This window comes from Homo sapiens, chromosome 9, assembly GCF_000001405.40.
Source record: "Homo sapiens chromosome 9, GRCh38.p14 Primary Assembly".
Classification (NCBI taxonomy): domain Eukaryota; kingdom Metazoa; phylum Chordata; class Mammalia; order Primates; family Hominidae; genus Homo; species Homo sapiens.
In genome coordinates, this window is record NC_000009.12 from 113,630,667 (window position 1) to 113,654,846 (window position 24,180).

Here is a 24,180-nt window from a genome sequence, read left to right on the forward strand (position 1 = left end):
TAGCAGATACAGATGCAACCACAAACTGAGACACGTAAGAAATGTCATGTTTGTCTCAATTTTAAAATGACCTGAGAAAGAACTCTTCTGTGCACTCGCTTTAACCCTCTTTCTTCCTTACTACTCAAACCTTCGCTAGGTTGAAACTGCAGCCTGGAGAATGGGATTGGAGGTGAGAAGAAACTGACATTCTGTCTATTTCTAGACCAGAAAATTCTGCACTGGTCTAGAAATAGACATGATTGCCTTGGACTGTGTTTGCAATTTAAAGGAATTGTCATTACTAAGACAGCAAAAAAGTCGCCCCCCCCAACCCTTCCTGGAGTTGTCCCACTGACTACATTTTAAAGAGATAATGGAACACAAAAATAAAGTTGTGCTTTTGATTACATTACCAGTCTGGCTTGTTCAACCTGCTGGTTCCAATAGCATTATTTCTGCACCTGTTGCTAGCTAGGCATTGGGCTACTATAACAAAGGTTTGCCTCGTTTAGCCTCAAAAACATCCTAAAGGCAGGCCATACCCTCCAGATGATCCAGAAGGAGAAACTGAAGCCCAGGGTGGTTACATTGCATGTTCTTGGTCACACAGCTAGTAGGTGGCAAGTTTGCCTTTTTGAGCCTCTATCTCCTCATCTGTGAAATGGGGATGCTATGGTTACCTTGCAGGGTCACTATAAGGATTCACAGAGGTGAATGGGGGTGCTCTGCGCACTGTAGGGGGTGCAGTCAAGGATCACATCTTCCTCTTTGAGCCTGCCTCCCCGTCTCCTGGCACTGTGTCTCTGGATGAGACTGGAGCTGTGTTTGGCCTCGTATGTCCTCACATCTGGAAGGCATAGACTTGCTGGCACACTTGGCTTTTGGGTTCTGGAAATCCCCTCTCCTGTCCCCTGACCTTCATCTCTGGGCAGCTGACAGCAGCTGACTCCCCACAGCCAGGCTGGAGGGGTCTCAGGCTCCGGGAAGGATTTCTGCCTCCCCAGAGAGGGCTGGCTGGCTCAGCCTTCTCGGGCAGCACTCCGCGTTAACCTCACTTCACGACCATGTTTCTGGTTTACTGGGAACCAGGCAGAATCTGCCGAGTCCTCAAAATATGAGAGGCTGAGGTTTTCTCTGCTGGTGTCTGTCTGGCATCCTGCTGGTCCTTATGAAGGGGTCCAGGGAATTGGGTTTGCAAAAATCTGGAGTGGGGTGCAATACAGGGCCCTTGTCTTCTGGCTCCCAGCCTAGTGGCAGGGCAGCCTCAGCCTGCATATTGGGAGAGAGGCTCTCCCCCAGTCTGCTGGTCCTGTGTTCCAACCTCACTTGCTATGTGATCTCAGGCAGAGACCTTTGCCTCTCTGGGTCTCATGAGCCCGTGTGTACAAAGACATGATTAGTTCTCCATGCACTGTGTGTGTGTGTGTTCATGGGCTATGCATGAGTGTGCCTGTGTGACAGATGGGGAAATTTGGAAATGGGGAGGCATTTTTGGTTGTCACAAGGATGAAGGCAGGGTGCTGTTGGCATTAGTGCCGAGAAGCCAGGGATTCTAAGTGTCCTGCAGTGCACGGGATAGTCTCACGTCGTGAAGGCCATTTGTGTCTCATTGAGAAATTCTGGGCAGGATCATTTCCCAGGTCTGTGGTTTTTGATATTTTAAGATTGTTATCGGAAAGGAGCTCATTGCTACTTAATCTGAGGAAGAATTTTTCTATGCTAATATAACTATCATCACTTGAGTCAACAGGCACAGAGCCAAGGAATGAAGAAGTCCCTCAAAGACTGTCCCATAACAGGGTGGGTCTGGCTAACTGGAAGGCCCCTTGATAGGTGTGACTGTGGGAAGGTTTGGGATTAAGGGTTGGAGGGATTGGAATTCCTAGTCTTAACAGACGGAGAGAGCAAGACTGAATGGGTGCAGGGGGAGGAGGCGTGGGAGGAGAGGAGAGAGGAGAAGGCATGGGTGGAACACTGGGCCCCTGGAAGGTGGGGGCCCTAGGAGGCAAAGTGGGCAGAGGAAGGTTCTTGGAGGTGCGGAGTTGGGCAGAAAAAGATACTGAAAACCAGGGATGTCAAATGTTCAGTGCGAAGCGTGTACCGCAGTGTAAACATGCCTCCACATTCCATCATCAGTTAGGTCTACAGCCACCCACATGTTTCTTGGGAATATGGGTTTTTCCTGGTAATTGAGGAAGGGGCTGAATGGTTTATCTTAGGAGACATACTGAGGAGCTGAGATGGTGATGAAAGGGCCGCTGAGATGGTGATGAAAGGGCCACTCAGATGAGCCACAGCTGGTCTGACTCAGAGGCGGCAGTCGCGAGGAGCAGAGAGACCACGAGAAGGCAAGAGCCCTCATGACAAAAATCTCGGGGAGGGCTTTCAACTTCCATGGGCCTGGAGTGAGTTACAGTGGTTAAACAAGCAGGTTCCCAGTTCAGGGTACCTGGGCCCAAATCTCAGCCCTGCCCTTTCTACCCATGTGACCTTGGCGAGTCACACACACTTCTCTAAGTGAGTCGGCTTCCTCATCTGTGAAATGGGGGTAACATTAGTGCTTCCTTAGATTTCGTTGAGAAGATGAAATAGCAGGATCCTGAAAGGGCACTGAGCCCAGCCCCTGACTTGCTTCTCAGTTGATATTAGTTGATATTGATCATAGACAATGGTCCCTATGCTCCATTGTCTCTGGGGGCAGGGAGGTGGCAGCTGACATTTGGGTTTCAAGTATGCTTTCTCATCTAATGCTCACACCAAGTCCACAAGGCAAATATTTGACTCCTCATCGTACAGATAAAGAATCAGAAGCTGGCCGGGCACGGTGGCTTACTCCTGTAATCCCAGCACTTTGGGAGGTCGAGGTGGGCGGATCATGAGGTCAGGAGATCGAGACCATCTGGGCTAACACACTAAAAGCCTGTCTCTACTGAAAATACAAAAAAATTAGCTGGGCGTGGTGGCGGGTGCCTGTAGTCCCAGCTACTCGGGAGACTGAGGCAGGAGAATGGCGTGAACCCGGGAGGCGGAGCTTGCAGTGAGCAGAGATTGTGCCACTGCACTCCAGCCTGGGTGACAGAGGGAGATTCTGTCTCAAAAAAAAAAAAAAAAAAAAAAAAAAAGAATCAGAAGCTCAGAGAGGGGAAGTGGCTTGCCTGAGGTCACACAGCTATGAAGCACTGGAGCCAGGGTTTGAACTCAGGTCTCTCTGACTGCACAGTCCTGCTTCTGCTCCTCCAGGCAGCCTCCTGAGTCATCTACAGTGGAGTAAGATGCCTTGAGAGGTAATGAGCTGTCTGTCACTAGGCTGATTGGAAGAGGACTCTGCTCTGGGCAGGAGCACAGATGGTCCCTGGCTCTAGGACTCAGCTCTCTGATGCAGCAGTTTTGGGCTTTGGGAAGGATTGTGGGGATTACTGATGAGCTTCCAGGACTGGGTCATGGAGTTTGAACACCAGGCATTGCTAAGAACCTGGCAGATTCACAAGGGCCCCTTGTTGCGCTTAACGCACGTGGAGCGGTGTGTGTGTGTGTGCACGTGCGCATGCGTATGTGTGTGTAGATGTGCTGAGTTGACACTGCTTTCTTTCCTTCACCATCCCATGAGGAACAGTCTGCACTTGAGGTCACAAATGTTGACACAGGACATGGGCATGAAATTCCAGGAGGAGAGTGACAGTAGGGCTGGAGGCTTGGAGACCACTAGATACCTGACATTCTTTATGCAAGAAAGCCTGACCCTCTATTCTCTGAGACTGGCTGGAGGGGACCCTGACTCAGGGGACAGGGGGACCGAGGGCTCCACAGGTGGGCCCAGTTGCCTGGGAGCAGCAGACAGTGAGTCAGGAACCTGCTGTGCCACCAACACACTGGGTGACCTTCTCGCTCCCCATCTATCCAAGAAGGGGCCTTGGCTAGGTTCCTTCCTGTGCGGTGGGGAGGGTCGTGGAGGTCTGATTCGATTTCCTTGGAATTCCCCAAGCTGGGAAAGCTCAGAGCATTTCCCTAAAAGGCCTGGTGGATGACGGACTGGCTCAAAGAAGCATGGCTACATCAAAGAGAGGAAAGCAATGTGGGGCAGGAATTTCCTGTAGGAAAGGTACGAGGGAGATTCCTGGGTTGTGGGGTGTAGGTGCTTTCTTCCTGCTTAGGACACAGGATTCCCAGAGGAGAAAGAACAGCTGGTCCCATACCTCTGACCGAATGTGAGAAAATGGGCTCAAATTACAAGAGGGATTACAGTTAGACACTTAGTTCAACCAGATAAAGTAGTCACTTGGATCCTTTTACACTGAGAGGGGTTTGGCCTGAAGTTGTAAACAGGTTTAACAAAGCTTAGAGAAGTCTACACATTCTGAACAGAGGGAGAAGTAAGGAAAAGGGGAGGTTTCAGATCAACAAGGGAGCTCTAGGCGTTGGCCATCTTGCTGGTACTGCACTGGGCATCTTGGCAGGGGCACATGGTTCCGTTTCCCCAGAAATTTGTAGTACATTGCTGGAAGAATCTGAAAACTAGAGAGTAAAAATCCAAAACAAAAGGAAAAAAAAAGTCAAAGTTCAAATCCAGGACATTAAACTTGAGCACACACTGAGGGCCAAATCCTTTGCCTGCATGAGATCACGGAGTGTGTGGTGAAAAGTCAATATCATTAGAGGGGCTGTGGGCTCAGAGAGGTTGCATCTCTTGCCCAGGTTCACACAGCCGTTAGCAGCAGATCTAGCTTTCTCTGCTGTGCCACAGACACCCGTGCCAGGTGCCCAGGCTGGGGGCCTTTCTTATTCCTTCTCTGTGTCAGGAGCTGTGCTACATGGTGGTGGTCGGAGGCTGTGGATCAGGAACAACAGGACAGAACCCATTTCTCATAGTTATACAGTTTCTATGGCCAGTTTAGAAAAGGAATTCCTGTCATTGGGAGCTCAAAGTCCCAGACCCATTCCAGGGACATAAAGGCAGAGGATGCAGTCTCCCGTGGAAACACGAGTTTGAATCCCACGCCTGAAAAAAAAAGAAAGAAACATAAATAAGTAAATAGAGGCAGTGGGAGTGCCAGACAGAGCTGCAGGGGCTCAAGAAAGGTGGGCTTAGGGAGGGCACTAGGTGTGAAGCCTCCTTGTGAGAAGGTGGGCAGGCCAGGTGAGAAGAGACGTCCCCAACTCCAGGATCAGCTATAGAGGGGTGGTTCACTGCGGACAGAGATCTTTGAGGAGCCCCAGTCACATGCTGAACACTGCCCTTGCAGGCAGGATTGCAGGCTGATTAGAGACACTGGCAATCAGGCAGATCTGGATGCCAATCTGGTTCTAGCTTAGTGTGACTTTGGGCAAATTACTTGCCCTCTCTGAGCACCAGTTTCCCCAACTGTTAAACAAGAATAATAATACTTTCCTTGCAGGGATATTATATAGAAAGCATTTGGCCCAGTGCTTGGCACATCAGGAGCACCCCCTAAATGGCGGCTGTTATTACTCAGTTTATGATTGGGAGAGTCCCTTCTCCACTTGCTCCCTGGCCTCAGTTTCCTCAGATAACAGGATGGCCTCTGAGCAGCTCTGAGAGGCTGACTCCACTGGACTCCAGGCAGGGGCTAACCAGGGCCTGGTCCCCACGGAGATCGAATTTCCAGTTCCTCACTGGAGCCAAGTAAACACAGGGGAGACAGCACGGCTCCCTCAGCCGCCCACTAACAACCAGATTCCGAAGCCACCGCAGCTGCGGCTGTCCACTCTGATTGCGTCTGGCTCCAGCATCCCCAGCCCTGCTGCTGTCACCCTCATGGGACCCTGGGGTTTGGGTTAGGGGTGTGGCAGAGATGGTGCAAGCCAGCCTCATGGTGGTGGTGACGGGTAGGGCAACATTGTCCGCTGCTTCCAGAAGCAAATGGCTTGTCTCTTGGAGTCATCCTTTTCAGCTGCCACCTCCTTCTGTTGGTGACTTCACTGGACCACTAAAGCTGCTGACAGAGGAGACAGAGCCCAGGATGCTAAGGAAGCTCTCTGCCCCAGTTGCACTCCATTCCTCTGAGGTCAAGACCAGTGGTCTCAGTTTTATAACCTCTACATTCTTCTATTCTCTAGCTTTTCACGTTCCAGGAGAAACAGTATTTACTGAGCACGACTATGTAGGAGACATAGGTGAGCAAGACACAGAATTCCAAGTCCCTAAGGATTTCATAATTTGTCTGGTGAACTCCTATCCACCCTTCAAAACCCAGTTCAAATATCCTCTCCCACCTCTCCATGCTGCTTATCTCATGCTACTCCCTCACTGGTTCTCTGCACTTGGCCATGTGACCTTTCGGCAGCTGTGGGTTGACGGGACGCAGCAAAGCTCCTGCCCTCCTGAAGACCTTTACTGGGTGCTGCACCCTCTGCCCCCTCCCACTCACCATTCTGAGCAACCCATGCCTACCCCTCAAATCTCAGCTCAGACGGCATCTCCAGCATATACAGAGTGAGGGCCCATGGACTTTACAGGCAAGGCCACTGATATGATTTGGGTCTGTGTCCCCACCCAAATCTCATGTTGAATTATAATCCCCAATGTTGGAGGTGGGGCCTGGTGGGAGATGATTGGCTCATGAAGGCAGAATTCCCCCTTGGTGCTGTTCTCGTGATAGTGAGTTCTCCTGAGATATGGTCATTGAAAAGTGTGAGGCACCTCCCCACTCCCTCTTCCTTCTGCCCTGGCCGTGTGAGGTCCTGGCTCCTCCTTTGCCTTCCGCCATGATTGTAAGTTTCCTGAGGCCTCCCCAGAAGCAGACGCTGCTATGCTTCCTACACAGCCTGTGGAACTGTGAGCCAATTAAACCTCTTTTCTTTATAAATTACCCAAGCTCAGGTATTTCTTTATAGCAGTGTAAGAACAGATCCATACGGCCATTATTTCGGTCTGCAATTTAAGCATTTACAGCATGTTTATTTGATTCCTGCCTGTCTCCCTTCCTGGAATGTAAATTCCATGGGGACAGGGAGCCTGTATTTGGTTACCTTTGTCATCCCAGGGTCTAGCATGTGGAGGACTCTCAGTATGCAGGAAGGAACTCCCTCTTCCATGAAGTCTTCCTTGATTGCCTCGGGCACATTTAGTTTTCCTCTCAAGTGCGCATCTCCCAGCATTTTCTTTTATGTTATATTTTATGATATTTTTATTTTGAAATATTTCATATAGAGAGAAAAGGGTATAAACATATGTGTATAGTTTAACAAATAATTTTAAAGCAAACACCCACCTAACTAACACCCAGGTCAAGATATAGAACATTATCAGCAACTAGAACCCCCAGTGCACCTTTCTGTCTCTACTAGAGTTAGTTGATTTTTGATAATTTTTTTTGCTTTATTTTATAGGTTTGCATCTACATAGGCATTCCTAAACCACAGAGTTTAATTTTACCCATTAAAAATTCTTTTTATTTACTTATTTATTTTTATTAAATTTTTTAGAGATGGGATCTTGGTATGTTGGCCAGGCTGGTGGACTCAGACTCTCAGGTTCAAGTGATCCTCCCCTATCATCCTCTCAAGTAGCTGGGACTACAACACATGCCACCATACCCAGCTAATTTTTCTTATTCTTTGTAGAGATGGGGTCACCCTGTGTTGCCCAGGTTGGTCTCAAACTCGTGGGCTCAAGCGATCCTCCCGCCTTGTCCTCCCAAAGTGTTGGGATTAGAGGTGTGAGCCACTGCACCCAATGATGCCTTTTCACTTTCTTAATTGCACTTTCTGGTGATCAGGCATATAAACATTTAATGTAATAAACGTATCAAATTTTTCCTTTATGCTTCATGGTTTTTAAGAAATCCTTTCCTACCTCAAGTTCATAATATCTTTTAAAAGCTTTATGGTAACTTTTTATATTTAGATCTGCAGTGGGTTTTTTTTTTGTGGCGTGTAGTAGGGGTCAAGGTTCATTTTTTCCCTGCCATATGGATATCCGATAGACTCAGCATCATTTGTTGAAGCACTATCCTTTTCCCACCACATCACAATTGTCATAAATCATGTGTCCATCTATGCCTGGGTCTGCTTCTGGATTCTGTCTCATTGGACGGTGTGTTCATTCTTGCACCAACATCACAGCTTACCGTAGCTTTAATTTACGATACCCTGTGCTATGCTAAGTCTAAACAGCTGGTAGGGCAAGTCTTCTATGTTGTTATTCTTCTTCAAGAGCGTCTTGGCCCTTTGAGTTTCCATATACATTTTAGATTGTATCTTTCAAGTTCTAGCGACACACACACACACACACACACACACACACACGCACATGCACACGCAGCCCTCTCTTCATCCCTGAACTCTCTGCCTTCATCCTTTGCAGCATTTAGCCTTGGATCATGGATGTTTATGTGTCTGCCTCCATCCATACTCAGCATCATTTGTTGAAACACTATCCTTTCCCCACCACATCACAGTTGTCATAAATCAACTCTGATTGCATCTGGCTCCAGCATCCCCAGCCCTGCTGGGGTATGTGTGGGTCTGCTTCTGGATTCTGTCTCATTGGATGGTGTGTTCATTCTTGCACCAACATCGCAACTTACCATAGCTTTGCCACAGTAAGCACACCCAGGGCTGGGACAATGGCATCACGTCATTTCTGCACCCCAAGGCCTTCCTTCCTTGCTGAGTGGTGTGGAGGACACGCTCTACAATCATCTAAGAGGTTTCAAAGAGTGAGAGCGAGAGAATGAGAATAGGAGAGAATCTGAACATGGTCAATGCTGTGGATGGTTCCGTCCTCCACTCCACCCAGGGAATGTATGGCCTGGAGTGAGTGCGAGATTGGAGACCAGAGTCTATCATTCTTCCATTCTTCCTGGAGGTGTTAGTTCCGAGGTGCCATCTTTCCAGACTGAGTGTGGATCTAGTGTTTAAAAACACGTGTGCTGCTGGGCACCGCGGCTCACACCTGTAATCCCAGCACTTTGAGAGGCTGAAGCAGGAGGATTGTTTGAGCTCGGGAGTTTGAGATCAGCCAGGGCAAAATGGCAAAACCTGTCTCTATCAAAATACCAAAGATTAGCTGGGCATGGTGGCATATGCCTGTAGTCCCAGCTACTTGGGGGGCTGAGGCAGGAGGGTTGCTTGAGCCTGGGTGGTCGAGGTTGCAGTGAGCTGAGACTGTACCACTGCACTCCAGCCTGGGCGACATAGTGAGACCCTGTCTCAGAAAAAAAGAGAAAAAAGGCCGGGCACGGTGGCTTATGCCTGTAATCCCAGCACTTTGGGAGGCAGAGGCGGGCGGATCACGAGGTCAAGAGATTGAGACCATCCTGGCCAACATACAAAAATTAGATGGGCATGATGGCGCGAGCCTGTGGTTCTAGCTACTCAGGAGGCTGAGGCAGGATAATCGCTTGAACCTGGGAGGCAGAGGTTGCAGTGAGCTGAGACTGTGCCACTGCACTCCAGCTTGGCAACAGAGCAAGACTCCGTCTCAAAAAAAAAAAAAAAAAGAGAAAAAAACCCACAAATGTGGGTGCGTGCACTTGTGTGCGTGACAAGGCCCCAGTAAGCCAACCATCTTGCATTCAACCAAAGAAACTGCAGTCAGATCCGTGCTGGGGAAAGGCTGGCTGTGATGGACATAGTGAGAGATGTTATAGAATGTTGGGCTTCAACATGGCGAAATTCCATAAAGAATTTTCAGGGATAATTTTAATGGTGCCCAGTGTTCTCCTTTTATGCTGATTTTATTTATTCAAGACAGAGTCTCACTCTGTCGCTCAGGCTGGAGTGCAGTGGCTTGATCTCAGCTCACTGCAACCTCCGCCTCCCAAGTTTAAGTGATTTTTGTGTCTCAGCCTCCTGAGTAGCTGGGATTACAGGAGTGCACCACCATGCATGGTTAATTTTTGTATTTTTAGCAGAGATGGGTTTTTGCTATGTTAGCCAGGCTGGTCTTGAACTTCTGCCCTCAAGTGATCTGCCCGCCTTGGTCTCCCAAAGTGCTGGGGTTACAGGTGTGAGCCACCATGCCCGGCCCTAGTGCTGACCTTAGAACCAACTTCCGTACAGGACAGGACTCTACTTATTAACCTTCTATGATACCAACCTCCACAGCAGCGACTCTGCTGCAAGTTTCTTGAAAGCAGGACTATATTTATCTTTCCCATGACGTGTTTTTCCCAGGAACTTGACACATTGTAGGTCCTTAGTAAATGCTATAGGATTAAACTTAATTCTACAGTCTTGCTTGCCTTCCACAAACGTTTTGTTTACTTTTTAAAAGGGAATCTTAATGAGATACAGTTTTACAGGCAATAAAATGTATCCATTTGAATGCATGTTTTAATGTGTTTTGACAAATCTATAGGTCTATGTAACCACCACCATGATCAAAATATAGAAAATTGTCATCTCCTCTAAAAATTCTCTCATAACTCACCCTGTCAATACCTCCCACCCCTGGCCTGGGTCCACATGGATCAGCTTTCTGTTACAATAGACTAGATTTGCCTTTTATAGTGTTTCATGTGAGTGGCATCATACAGCCGATGATATTTTGTTTCTGGCTTCTTTTAGCCAGTACAATGTTTTTGAGATTCATTCATGTGTATATCAGTAGCTCATTTCTTTGACTGTGCAGTACATTGTATGGCTATATCACAGTTTGCTTATACAGTCACTGTTTCATTGACATTGGATTATTTCCAGTTTGAGAGTACTGTATTATGAATAAAGCTACTATGAGCATTTGTGGACAAGTTTTTATGTGGACAAGTCTTTATGTGGGCGCATGTTTTTATTGCTCTAGGGCAGGGGTGTCCAACCTTTTGGCTTCCCTGGGCCACACTGGAAGAAGAAGAATTGTCTTGGGCCACACATGAAATACACTAATACTAACGATAGCTGATGAGCTTAAAAAAAATTCTATGCATAATTTTCATTATATCCACTACCACAGATAAGCAAAAAAGTCCTTGCATTCAAAGAGTTGGACATGGCTGCTCTACGGTAAATGCTTAGGAGTGGAATTGCTGGATTATGTGGTAAATGAATGCTTAACTTTCAAAGCAACTATTCACCGGTTCTCAAAGTATCATTTTACATACTTACCGGCAACATATGAGAATTCCAGTTGCCCTACATCCTGTCTGCACTTGATACTGTCATTCATTTTAATTATAGCCATTCTGGTGTGTGTGTGTCCTGCCATCTCACTGTCATTTTTTTTTGGTATTTGTCTAATGACTGTAATGACAAATGACGTTAAGCATCTTATGTGCTTATTGTCTATTTGTATACTTTTCTGGTAAAGTATCTGTTCAAATATGTTAAAAATGGGATTTTCTTATTATTACTGAGTTGAGGGAGTTATTTATATATTCTGGACACAAGTCCTTTCTCAGAATCTTGTATTGTTGGTAGCTTGCCTTTTCATTTTCTTAACATCTTCAAAGAGCAGCACTTCAGATTTTGATGAAGTTCAACTTATATAATTTTTTCCTTTTATGGTTAGTGAATTTTGTGTCAGATCTAAAGACATCTTTGCCTAATCCAAGGTCAAAAAGATTTTCTCCTATGTTTTCTTCTAGAAATTTAATAATTTTGTTTTTTTATGTCTAGTTCTATGATCGATTCACATTAATTTTTGTGTATAATAGGAGGTGAAGGTCAGGTTCATTTTGTTTCCATATTGATATCTAGTTGTTCTAGCACCATTGATTGAAAAGTCCATCTTTCCCTCCATTGAATTACCTTGGCATTTTTGTCAAAGTCAATTGACTGTGTATGCTTGGGTCTATTTTAGGTCTCTCTAATCTGTTCCATTAATCTTTATGTCAATCCTTTTGCCGGTAGCACACTGCGTTAAGTACTGTAGATTTATAATTGGCTTGAAATCAGGTGGTTTAAGTCCTTTAAATTTGTTCTTCTTTTTCAACTTATTTTATTCTAGGTGTTTTGGTTTTCCATATACATTTTATAATCATCTGGTCAATTTCTACCAAAAAAAAAAAAAAAAAGCCTGCTAAGTGTTGATTGGGATTGCGTTGAATCTGTAGATCAATTTGGGGGAGAATATATAGATCAATTTTAACAATATTGAGGCTTTCAATCAAAGAATATATTATCTCTCCATTTCTTTGGGAGTTCCTTAATATCACTCAGTGATGTTTTATAGTTTTTCTCCTAGAGTATTACATATATTTTGTTAAATATATCATTATATATATCATGTTTTTTGGACACGTCTGTAAATGGTATTTTGTAAATTCAATATTTAAGTGTTCATTACCAGTACATAGAAATACAATTCAGTTTTGAACATTGACTTTATATCTTGGAACTGTGCTAAACTCACTCATTAGTTCTAGTTGCTTTTTATTAGATTTCTTAGGATTTTCTATGTATACAATTATGGGGCTTGTGTTTTCATTTTAAAATATTGTTTTACTCTGTCTCATCCCATATGTATGTATTTTGCTGGGATTGTGTATTTTATTTCTGTTTCATGCTTTATTGCATTGGTTAGTGCCTCCTGTATGGTATAGAATCTAAGTGGTGAGAATGGATATTTTGACTTGTTACCAGTTTTAGTGAGAAAGAAATCTTCACCATTAAATATGATTTTTACATGAGGTTTTTAATAGATACTTTTTGTCAAATTGAAGAATTTTCTTCTATTTCAGGCTTGCTGAGAGTTTCAAATCATGCATGACCGTTGAGTTCTGTCATTTTTTTCCTGAATTTATTGAAATAATTATATGGCTCTTCTCATTTATTCTATCCAATATTGTGATTAATATTAATTGATTTTCAAATGTCAAACCAATTTTGTGTTCCTGGGATAAATGTAGTCAGTCATTTTATACACTTCTGGATTCAGTTTGCTAAAATATAAACATTTTTGCCTCTCTGGTTATGAGGAACATTGTTTTGTGGTTCCTTCTTCTCTCCCTGCCTTCTTTCCTTCCTTCCTTCTTTTTCTTGCATTGTCTTTGTCTAGTTTTGGTGTCATGGGAATGCTGACCTCACAAAATGAGTTGGAAAATTCTCCAACTCATTTTGAAAGAGTTTGTATAATATTTGTGTTATTTTTCCTTAAATGTCTGATAGAATTTATCATTAAGCCATCTAAGTCTGGAATTTGTTTTGTTTGCAACTTTTAATTACAAATCCAATTCCATAATAGATATAGAAGTTTTCAGATTTTCTATTTCTTTTTAAGTTAAGTTTTGGTAATTTCTGTCTTTCAAGAAACTTTTCCATTTCACTGAGTTGTCAAATTTTTTGGGAAAAAGCTATTTGTAAAATCCCCTTATTATCCTGCTAGGATCTATGTTGATGTACCTTTTGAGTTCCTGATATTGGTAATTGTGTCTTTATTCTTTTTTTTTTTTTGCCTTGATCAGTCTGGTTAGAGATTTATTATTTTTTTCCATCTTTTGGTTTTATAGATTTACTCCATTTGTTTTCTCTCCTTCTAGTTCATTGATTTCTATTCACTAATAATTCCTCCCTTCTCCTTCTTTTGGGTTTATTTACTCTTCTTTTTTAAGCTTCTTCAGGTGGGAGCTTACATTATTGATTTTAACCCTATCTTTTTTCTAATATAAACATTTAAAGCTATGCATTTCCCTTCAGGCACTCTCTTAGCTACATCCCACTCATTTTAATATACAGTGTTTTCATTTTTATTTGGTTCAAAATGTTTCTTATTTGCCTTGTGATTTCTTATTTGATCCATGTGTTATTTATAATGACTTTAATTTCCAAATATTTAGAAATTTTCAAAATATCTTTCCGTTACTGATTTCCAGTTTAATTCTGTTGTAGCCAGAGGTCATACTCTGCATAATTCAATCTCTTAAAAATTGTTGAGACTTTTTTATGGCCCAGCATGTGATCTGTCTTAGTGAATGCTCCATGTGTGCTTGGATAATGTGTATTCTGCTGTTGTTGGGTGGAGCATTCCTTAAATGTCAATTAAGTTCAGTTGGTTGATAGCACTGCTGATATTCTTACTGATGGTTTAAATCATTTTTATAATGTGTTCTTACACAAACGAGATTGTGTATATTACAAGAAAAATCAGATGATCCAGATGTAATAGGGTACCTGAGAAGGCAGAGACTCATTAGTTTTTTTTTAATCAAGAGAAGTGGGATCATAAAATCATCTTGAAGCAGATCCCTCAGTTAACTGAGAATACCTTGAATGGCCTTCTTAATCAGGCTATTAATCAGAAGGTAGAGCCAGAAGGCTTCGGTCTTTGGGGTTCCGGTGTAGATAGTCACTCCCTTAGATCTCTTGCAAATTGAGTAGGTACAGAGCAGGGATGACTACTTGGGTAAAAAGCCTTTAGAAGATAGTATAGTACTCTGCCTGATTAAGGAGGTCATTGGAAGGATTTCTCAATTAACTACAGGATCTGCTTCAGTTGCAGGGTGGATAAGGTGGTTCCATCTGAGTCTCCAGGGCAGGAAAGGGCCATGAGACCCATGGAATGATCTTATGGAGAAGGGTGGCCTAGCCAGGTGAGCTGGGAGGGCTTGGAGGCAAGCCTGGTTTTGAGGCCCCCTGCTTGGGTGAGTGAACAGGTCACACCCCCACTAGATGTGGGTCTGGTTCTCAAGGAGGTTACCATGCGTGTGCACAGATAAAATATTCACAAACTCTGAGACTCACGAACCTGGGAAATCTAAACTTCTTGTCCTCTATAGCAGGGGTCCCTAACCCCTGGTACCAGTCTGTGGCCTGTTAGGAGCCGGGAGGCACAGCAGGAGGTGAGCTGCGGGTGAGTGAGCTTTACTGCTAGAGCCCCGCCTCCTGTTAGATCAGCAGAGCCCTTAGATGCTCATAGGATTGCGAACCCTGTTGTGGACTGCGCATGCGAGGGATCTAGGCTGCACGCCTTATGGGAATCTAACTAATGCCTGATGATCTGAGGTGGAACAGTTTCATCCCAAAACCATCCCTCCCCATCCCCATCTCCTGTCTGTGGAAAAATTGTCTTCCACGAAACGTCCCTGGTGCCAAAAAGTTGGGGACTGCTGCTCTATAGGACCAAAGTTCCTGACTCTCACCTTCATGATGGTGGAAACAGAAACACAACATGAATGCTGGTGACTGAAGGGACCCCCCGCAGAGTGCAGTTTCATGAGAACTGACCCTGCCAGGGAGGGCAGCGGCGACAGGGCAGCCATTCACTGAGCCCTTGTTACAAGCCAGGTACCGGCAGGCAGGTGAGTCAGTTCTTACCATGATTGGGCAAGATGAGTCCTATTGCTGTACCCATTTTAGCTTCAAGGAAGTAGAGGCTCAGAGAGTCTAGGAGATTGCTTCCTGTCCCACAAATAGAGTGGAGTTTGAATCCCAGACAATCCAACTGTAGAGTTCATGCTCTTCAAGCTGGAGAGGTGGCCCAATCGCGGAGGTACTCGATTGCCAGGCTAGGGAGATTGGACTTTATTCTGAAGGCAATGGCAGGCATGGAGAATTCTGGAGCAGAGCCAGAAGGATCCCTCTGGCAGCTGGGTGGAGGGTGCCTTGCAGTGAATGGTTAGTTAGGAAGCTGTTCAAGACAGAAAGAATCACAGTTAAACCCAAATCAGCCCTAAGCACCAGAGATGAAAGTCTGAGGGGACTGAGGATAGTGTGGGGAAGAAGAAATTTCATCCAGTGTTAGAAATGGGCAGAGAGGTGGTTGGATGGAGAGATGGCAGACGGCATTAGAGGCATAGTGTGTGAGCGTCGGGGTGGGGGTGAACCTCTTTCCTCTGGCTCCTTGGTAAAGCCCAAGGGGAACAGGAGAGAAAATTCTGGACTAGAAATCAGGAGCCCAGGGTCCCAATCTTACCCTTGCCATGGGATTCACTGTATGACCATGGGCAATTTGCTCCCCTTCCCTCAGCCTCGGTTTCCCCATATGTACACTTTGCAGGGTTGGTGTGAACAGTGCCTGAGACCTGTTTTGCAAAGGGGAGAGCCCCATAACTGGTCTTTCCATTTCTGCTCCTGGTCCTTCTAATCCATCCCCCGAGGGTGGCCAGACGGAGGTTTAAAGTTAATTGCATCAAATGCCTGCACTGGTTTCCCTGCCCTGGCCCCTGCCTCCTGCTGCCTGGCTCCACTATGTTCTTAAAACCTACCGCTGGCTTTCACTGTACTTAAAAAATGTCCAAGCCCTTTCAATGGCCTTCAAGGCCCTGCGTGATCTGACTCCCGTTCACCTCCGGGATCTCATTTTCTCTCTCCCTCCTGGTCCTTCACTGCATTCCAGTTATGCTGGCCTTCTTTTCAGTTTCTCACAACTCACCCAGCTCTTTCTTATCTCTGAGCAATTGCTGTTCCCACTGCTTGGAATGCCCTCCCCCTGTATCAGTTATCAGTCTCAGTTAACTGCTGGGTAACAAAACACTCCAAAACCTAGTGACTTGAAACAACAACCATTTGTGGTTTCTTGGGAGGCGGTGGGTGGGCTGGGCAGCTCTGCCGATTTGGTGGCACTGGTGGATCTCGGTTGGTCTTGGCTAGTTCACTCAAGCATTTGCAGGCAGCTGCGGGTGGAGCAGGTGGTTCTGTGGATCTTGATCTCGGCTGGGCTCCCTCACGTGTTGGTGGTTGATGGACAGTTGGTTGGTCTGGGCTAGTCTTGGCTGGGGTGACTTAGATAACCAGGCTTCTCTTCCATGTGCCTTTCCTTCTCCCTAGCAGGCCTGCTGGGGTGAAGGCAGGAGTCCAAGGAAAAAGGCAGAATCCTGAAGCATGTTTTCAGCCTCTGTGTGGGTCATTTCCTAACATCCTACTGCCCAAAGAAAACCACATGGCCAGGGCCAGAGTAAAGGGTGGGGAAACAGACTCTGCCTCTTTTTTTTTTTTTTGAGACAGGGTCCTGCTCTGTTGCCCAGGCTGGAGTGCAGTGGTGCAGTCATGGCTCACTGCATCCTTGCCCTCCTGGGCTCAAGCGATCCTCCTGTCTCAGCCTCCTGAGCTGAGACTACAGGCGTTTGCCACCATGCCTGACTAATTATTTTTTCTAGAGATGGGGGTCTCTGTATGTTGTCCAGGCTGGTCTCGAACTCCTGGGCTCAAGTGATTCTCCTGTCTCAGCCTCCCAAAGTACTGGGATTACAGGCATGAGTCACTGCGCCTGGTGCTAGACTCTGCCCTTTTAGTGATAAGAACCAGCTATAAGATCACTGGGCAAAAGATCTGGACACAGAGAAAGGAGAAAAATTGGGGTATATTTATCTCTGCCTCCTTCTTTCTACCTAGTGCCTTCTCATGCATTGATGCCTCCTTGGAGGAGCCCTCCCTGACCATTCTGAGGGCAACAGTTGTTCCCTGGTTTTTCTCAGCCACAGCCCTGCTCTGCTTGGACCACCTTTGTCCCAGAATGCAAAGTAAGTGTTCAGCAAATATTTCTACGTCAACTAATAAACCATCACAATTCTTGGGGAAAGAATGACACTGTGCCCGTGAGTGGTCAGTCCCCTCCCTTTAAGTGCCACATCCCAGAAGTGCAGCCTCATAGAAAGCAGCTACCACATCAGCCTGTCCCCTGTCCCCTGTCCCCAGAGGAACCCTAGACCCTGAGGCTGCCCTTGCCATTAGAAATGAGGTTCTCAAGACTGGCTGAAAGCTTGTTGACCTAGTGGCCATGCCCTTGCTGGGAAGTCGCACTGCTCTGGTAGAGAGGGTCAGGCCATTCTGTCCCAGGAGACCCACAGGGCTTGCTCCATTGTCCTTCACTCTTAAAATAGATTTTATAACCATGCTGCTGAGTGAAGACCTCCAGAGTCTCAGAACTCAGGTCAGAGCCTGAACTCAGGTCTGAAGCCCTGTGAGGTCAAGGTGGACTGGGGCTACACAGTGGGATATGGACAGGACAGGCCTCAGGGCCCCGCCTCTACCTCCCAGCTGTTTCCACCTACCCAGTCCCCATAGGACTTCTCTGTCCCTTTGTGTTGTGGCTGTAGTGGCATCTTTCTAGATGCCTGTCTGCTTGCTGTTTGGGGCAATGTATTGGGAGCAGGATATAAAACCGGGACCTCCTTCATTCTCCCCAACACGAATGTCTATAGTAGTAATAATAATAAGAATAACCACAGCAACTACTATTGGCTTGGCATCACTACATGTAAGACATTTTGCATGCCTGGACTTACGTAATTCTCACAGTGATCGTGAGACTTGGTAACATCATCATCCCGTCTTCCAGATGAGAAACCAGACAGGGCGAAGGGTGTGCCTGAGGTTGCCCCACTAGGAGGTGGCAGAGCGAGGATTCAAACTCAGGTCTGATGCCAAAACCAACACCTTCCTCCACCACCAGGCCCAGGTTGCCCCTCAGCCTCCCCTCCAGCAGCCACACCTCTGAGTGGCTGCCCTTCCCTCCCTGCCCCTCAGCCCTGTAGGACCTGCATCTGCGTAAAACACTCGTGGGCTCTCTTTCTGCCACCTGAGTCACTAAGCATCTGCCCTGGCTGGCCTCCTGGTGTCTGGGCTGGGAGCAGGCCTGGCTGCTGGTGCAGGGCCGGGAGAGCCACGTGCAAGCTACAAGTGTTGTCCTGCCAGGGGCCTTTGTCTCCCCCATAATGGGACCCAGCGCTCTCTCCAGGCCCCTGAGAGCCTGAGAGGCTGTGGGCCAAGGCCTTGGCAGAGCGGCCGGCTGAGGGCACTGAGTGGAAGCAGATGTGCCTGGGCTGCCTTTGGCCCGCTGCCCAGAAGAGCCTTTCCATCTGGAGCCCTCGGGCTTGGGGAGGATGCTCCGACTGTGAGAGCCGTGTGGGGACCGGACTCACACGAGGCTGCCTTGGACCAGAATATTTTAATCTGTTTGGTTTAAGAAAGAAACAAAGCCTCCATTTTTGTTGTGTGTGCCAGAGCTGGTTCTGAGCCAATGGTGGTGAGAGATTGACACCCAACCTCTGATACAGCTTATGCATGGGGAAACTGAGGCCTAGTGAGGGCGGAAGGACTTCCACAAGGTCACCTAGCATTTTGTGAACGTGGACATGCTATACCAATTAGAGTGACAATTGGGGCAGATCTGGGAGGGGTCCCCAGCCTTCCTAGAGCAAGGTACGTGTGGGCATCTTTCTTGTCTAGCCTGGGTGTGGGTTGCAGAGCCATGAGATTTTCTGGAAGGGAATCCCCTGCCACTCCAGGGAGGGGAGAGATAGCTAGTGTCCTCCTGTTCTGTCAGACTAAGTCCTACCGCAGAGACAAAGGGCTCCTTCACCAGTTACTGTCAAAACTGACATCTTCAGGGAGGGAGGGGACCCTGCCTTTCTCCAGTGATCCTGCTCGTGGGGTCTTTTGAGAGAGACAGCTCTGAACTGAGATTGGGAGCCCTGAGTTCAAGTCTGGAATCTGCCTCTGACATGCTTTGTGACATTCGGCAAGCTGCTTCCCCTCTCTGAGCTTCCTTTTTTTCCATCTGCAAAATGGGGATAATTGTATCCCAATGTCTTCTGGGATAGCAAGAGTACACTTTGAAAATCTAGTCCCTCATCCATTTCTTGAGGGTGTCCAAAATCAGCCCTTTGAGGTGGGAGGAGCAATATTCTCACTGCCTGGAAGGGAATGGACAGCTCAGAGAGGTGAAGTGACTTGCTCAGACACACAGCATCCGTGGATCAATGCTGTGGGGTTGGAAGGGTTTCCTGATTCCTAGTTCTGTGGTCATCTCCTCTCCGTGAGACCTGATGTCCTCTGCCAGACCACATAGAGACAGCAGACATGGCCTTCGGTGGGGTCCTCCACCACCCCTCATGGAGAAGCCGAAAATGAGGGCAAGGGCCAAAGCATTGAGACTTGCTTCACCTATTGGAATGGGGTCCTGAGGATCGATGCGACACATGGCCTGCAAGTTGCCTGCAGCATGCCTGTTGGAGGGTGAGGTCAGCCAGTCTCTGCTTGCATAGCTCTCGGACAGGAAGCTTACTATTTGCTCAGGCAGCCTGTCTCATCCCAGCGACTGTGAGAAAGCATCCTCGGCCTGGGCTGAAACCTGACTCCTCTTCAAGGTCACTCCTGTTCCCCAACCCCCAAACTGTGCACATTCTGCTCCCCAGCCTGGGGTGGCCCACAGGCCCTAAAAATGGGCGAGCCTGGGGCTGCCTGGATTCGAGAACTTACAGCTCTCCCAGTCTCCCCTTCCTCTCACTTGACCCCTGATGCGGAACAGCCTCCTTTCCTGAGGCTCTGATTACCCTGGAGCAGGCAGGCGGAACCTTTCTCCTCCACCCCTGGCAACACTGCTGGGCAAGCACACCACATCCTGCTCGTCCTACTGGAAGATGCCTCCCTCTGCATTGGGGAAGGGATGAGACTTCCGGGCCAGGCCAGCAGGAAGACTCACTGGTCCAGAAGTCAGAACACCTGAGTCACTTGACATGCACTCTCAGATGAGCTGCTGCACTGCTCTGTGCCTCAGCCGCTTTCATCTGTAGAATGGGATGGTCATGATGCCTGGCCAGCAGGGCCCATGGAGCTTGTATAAAACCTGATGGGAGGGGAGGTTGCAGTAAAAGCCTTGGAGATGAAAACACTGGACACAGGTGAGGATTGTGTGGAGCAGAAGCATCTCACCCAGTTGAGATTCTGGACAAATCAGAGCCTCCCTGTCTCTCCGCAGCTGTGAACACCTACCTACCCCGCCAAGGCCTCCTGCAGCTGTGGACAGGTCCCTCTCTGCTGGGTCCCTCTCTGCTGGAAACTTCACAAATCCCTGGGGCCCAGGGCTGCTTTGGGGAGGGACAAAGCCGTGGGATGAATAGGGTAGGAAATTGATGTTCTCCTGATGGCAGTTTAAAACATTTTTAAAATATTGAAACAAACATGGATTTATGATGAAACAGGAGAATTTGACATGAATTTGGAAGTGAACACATGAGGCTGAGGAGACTTAACGCAATTGCAGGCTTTTGCCTCACTGTGCTCTGCCACACACCCTGCCTCCTGTTCCCTCCCATCCCCTCTGTCCCTGCTCCTTCCCACCCACCCCCTGGTGTGGGCTATTCTCTTTCTGCAGTACAGAAACTTTAGGAAGACGGTCTGTGTGGCCCTGTGATGGAACAGGTCAACCCAACCCATCACATTTCTGATTAATGACCCCCAGGCCCTCTCCTCTACAAATTCTACCCTTCTTATTGATTACAAACATACTCTTCAAAAACCTTGGTGAAATGTCCAAGCTCGTTTTCCTTCCTTAGAAATGGCAGTTGTTGTTGCTGTTGTCATCATAACCTTCATCACCTTCTTGTGTAGGCGGGTATTAGAATCTGCTTTTCTGAAAAACATGGGCCTGAGCCTGTTTGACTCATGGTCTCAACCTTGAAAGGCTCAAATTCAGAGAGGCTTATGGGGTTCCTCAGGCCACCTCTTACCGGACTCTGTTCACTTGCACACAGGTCCCCTGGAGTCATTGGAATGCAGGTTCCTACTCGGAGGCCTGGGTTTCCAACAATCTCCCAGGTGAGTCAGTGCTGCTGGTTCTGAGACCAACTTGGGCCCCAAAGGCAGTTGGTGATGGAGCTGGGCCTGGCGCCAGCCTCCTCTACCATGATAGCCTGCCCACCCTCCTACCACCTGCCATCAGGGTGACCTGGAAAGCACTGGGGGGCCATAGACAAGTCTCAGATAGTTCTGCATCAGAAGAACCAGGCCTCCTCTTGCTATCTGTGTAAATAATTATTGGGAGGCCGAGGTGGGAGGATCACTGGAGGCCAGGAGTTGGAGACTAGCCCGGACAATATAGCAAGACCCCATCTCTAAGAAAAAAAATTAAAAATTAGCTGGGTGTGGTGGCTCACACCTGTAGTCTCAGTTGCTGGGGTGGCTGAGGCAGGATGACTTGAGCCTAGGAATTTGAGGCTGCAGTGAGCTATGATTGTGTCACTGCACTCCAGCCTGGACAACAGAACAAGACCCTGTCTTAAAAAAATTAGAAAATCAACATTCATAACCTCCAATGTGATGAGTGATTCAGGTGAGAATCATCAGTGCATGTGAAGAGATCATGGAATGCCAGTGGTTGGGGAACAAGATATTCACAATTTTGAAGTATCACTCCAGAGATTTTGTATTCCCTGCAGACGGGGTGTGCATTGAGCATGGCAGGGCCGGGCAGCCAGCACCTCCCCAAAGCAGTCAGGCTGGCCCTTGTCCATGTGATGTGGGCTGACAGGATGTGCTGCCCTTGCTGGAAAAGTTCGGCCTGAAGCTAACCTGGGAATCGTGGGATATTATGCAGGACATGTGGCCTGGATTGTTCAAAAGATTTAGTGTCATGAGGAGCAGAGTGAGGGGGTACACACCAGCCAAATGCCAAATGCCATGCATGACACTTGACAGGATCCTGGATTGGAAAAATAAATAGCAGCATGTTTTGGAGCAACTGGTGGAATGCGAGTGTGGACTTTGTGTTGGGTGATGTTGCCCAATGCTGATTATCCCTGGTGTGGCACTGGTGTGAGATTGCGTAGGAGGATGACCTTGGTCCTGAGAGATGGAGAGGTATCTGGGGGTGAAGTATCATGATGTCTGCAGCTTAATTTTGGATGGTTTGGCAAAAGAGCGGGAGGAAGAAGAGAAATAGAGAGAGAGAGAGAGCTCGATGGAGGGGATACAGTAAGATGTTAATGGTGGATCTCAGATAGGGGTATTCTTTCAACTATTCTGTGCATTAGAAAACCTTCCAAATTAGAAAAACACACACACACACACACACACACACACAAATGCAAATAGGCTGGGCATGGTGGCTCACGCCTGTAATCCCAGCACTTTGGGAGGCCAAGACGGGCAGATCAGGAGGTCAGGAGTTCAAGACCAGTCTGGCCAACATGGCGAAACCCCATCTCTACTAAAAATACAAAAAAAAAAAAAAAAAGCTGGGCAGGGTGGTATGTGCCTGTAATCCCAGCTACTCAGGAGGCTGAGGCAGGAGAACTGCTTGAACCTGGGAGGCGAAGGTTGCAATGAGCCAAGATCATGCCACTGCACTCCAGCCTGGGCGACCGTGCAAAACTCTGTCTCGAAAAAAAAAGAAAATAATTGTGAAAGAAAAAGGCATGGAAAAGCCATAATCTTTGCTGAAATCTACAATACAAAGTCAGAACTTGTATCCTGTGGCAGAAAAACGTCCTAACAATCCTCTTTCCCCAACCTCCACTCAAAGCTTTGCTTACCACAGAAGCTGCTCCTCATAAGACCCCTCTTTTCCCTCTCTTTCTCTCCCTGCAAAGCTGCAAGTACTTGTGTCAGTAGCCCTCTGCGTCCTACACCTCCCCTGGCACCCCTGCCCTGGCCCCCAGGCCTTTCTTTGTGGGGTATCCCAGTCTTTCTCAACACCTGTTTGGCAGCTAGGGGCACAGGTTCACAGGTGGGACGCCTGGTGTGATGTCTCACTCTGGCATTGACATGCTGGGTGGACTCAGCCAGATTATCTAACCTTTCTATGACTCAGTTTTCTCATCTGTAAAATGGGGCAGAACATCAGCATCTACCTAAGAGTGTTGTTGGGAGGATTAAATGTCCTAACACCCCCGGAGCACGGGGCAGAGAGTAATTGCTCATGAATGACACAACTGTCCAAGGTAGGTTGCCCAGCCCAAGGCCTTGTCTTTTTGGGACAACTGGCTAAATGAGATCCAGCTCCCACTGTGGCTTCCCAGGCATCTCTATTCATGCCACGGTGGGGAGATGGACGCCCGTGCTTGCTTTATGTCCCTGGGCCTCTTCCTCCTCCAGCACACGGTATGACAGCACCAAGCCACCACCTTGACCTTGGGCATGGACGCAGCTGGCTGTGGCCACTGGGTGGAAGCATTCAATTGCAGATGCTCCAAGTTTTCCCTTGCTCTCCTCCTGGCCTGGTACCCAGGGGCCACGCCCAGCCAGCATGGAGTTGACTCTGTATGAGAAATATATCTTTATGGTTTGAAGCCTCTTGGATTTAGCAGTTGTTTTGTTTCCAGTATAACCTTATCTATTCCCACTGATAAAACAGGGTTGCCCTGTCCCATGCTAAGGCTCCTTGGAATGCTCATCTAGATGAGGGTCAGTCTTAACTGCAACTTTCCAAGCATCTCTGAGTCCCAGCCAATGCCCTCACTGCGTTAGAAACCTCCATGCTTAGCTCCGCCGGCCTCCGCAGCCCCCTTGCCCTGGCCAAGGGCCACTCTGAAACATGATAACAGAGAGGGCTGCCTCGTTTCCCCAAATATAGGCTCTTATCAG

At 47.3% G+C, this 24,180-nt stretch overlaps 1 long non-coding RNA gene across 1 annotated transcript in view, besides 4 other annotated features; it reads left to right on the plus strand.

Moving 5' to 3' along the window:
* Nucleotides 1,009-1,572: an enhancer, noted in NCBI's record as "H3K27ac-H3K4me1 hESC enhancer chr9:116393955-116394518 (GRCh37/hg19 assembly coordinates)". NCBI's record gives its function as "activates a minimal SCP1, AML or CMV promoter by ChIP-STARR-seq in primed H9 embryonic stem cells {active_cell/tissue: H9 hESC(primed)}" and the evidence as "EXISTENCE:reporter gene assay evidence [ECO:0000049][PMID:30033119]".
* The window catches only part of LOC105376223 (uncharacterized), a 38,343-nt gene continuing 31,371 nt past the window's right edge, over nucleotides 17,209-24,180 (plus strand). The window contains exons 1-2 of the long non-coding RNA XR_930254.3: nucleotides 17,209-17,336; nucleotides 21,351-21,414. This is a non-coding gene — a long non-coding RNA (uncharacterized LOC105376223). The remainder of the gene's footprint in view (nucleotides 17,337-21,350; nucleotides 21,415-24,180) is intronic.
* Nucleotides 18,014-18,514: an enhancer, noted in NCBI's record as "H3K4me1 hESC enhancer chr9:116410960-116411460 (GRCh37/hg19 assembly coordinates)". NCBI's record gives its function as "activates a minimal SCP1, AML or CMV promoter by ChIP-STARR-seq in primed H9 embryonic stem cells {active_cell/tissue: H9 hESC(primed)}" and the evidence as "EXISTENCE:reporter gene assay evidence [ECO:0000049][PMID:30033119]".
* Nucleotides 18,515-19,015: an enhancer, noted in NCBI's record as "H3K4me1 hESC enhancer chr9:116411461-116411961 (GRCh37/hg19 assembly coordinates)". NCBI's record gives its function as "activates a minimal SCP1, AML or CMV promoter by ChIP-STARR-seq in primed H9 embryonic stem cells {active_cell/tissue: H9 hESC(primed)}" and the evidence as "EXISTENCE:reporter gene assay evidence [ECO:0000049][PMID:30033119]".
* Nucleotides 20,001-20,500: an enhancer, noted in NCBI's record as "H3K4me1 hESC enhancer chr9:116412947-116413446 (GRCh37/hg19 assembly coordinates)". NCBI's record gives its function as "activates a minimal SCP1, AML or CMV promoter by ChIP-STARR-seq in primed H9 embryonic stem cells {active_cell/tissue: H9 hESC(primed)}" and the evidence as "EXISTENCE:reporter gene assay evidence [ECO:0000049][PMID:30033119]".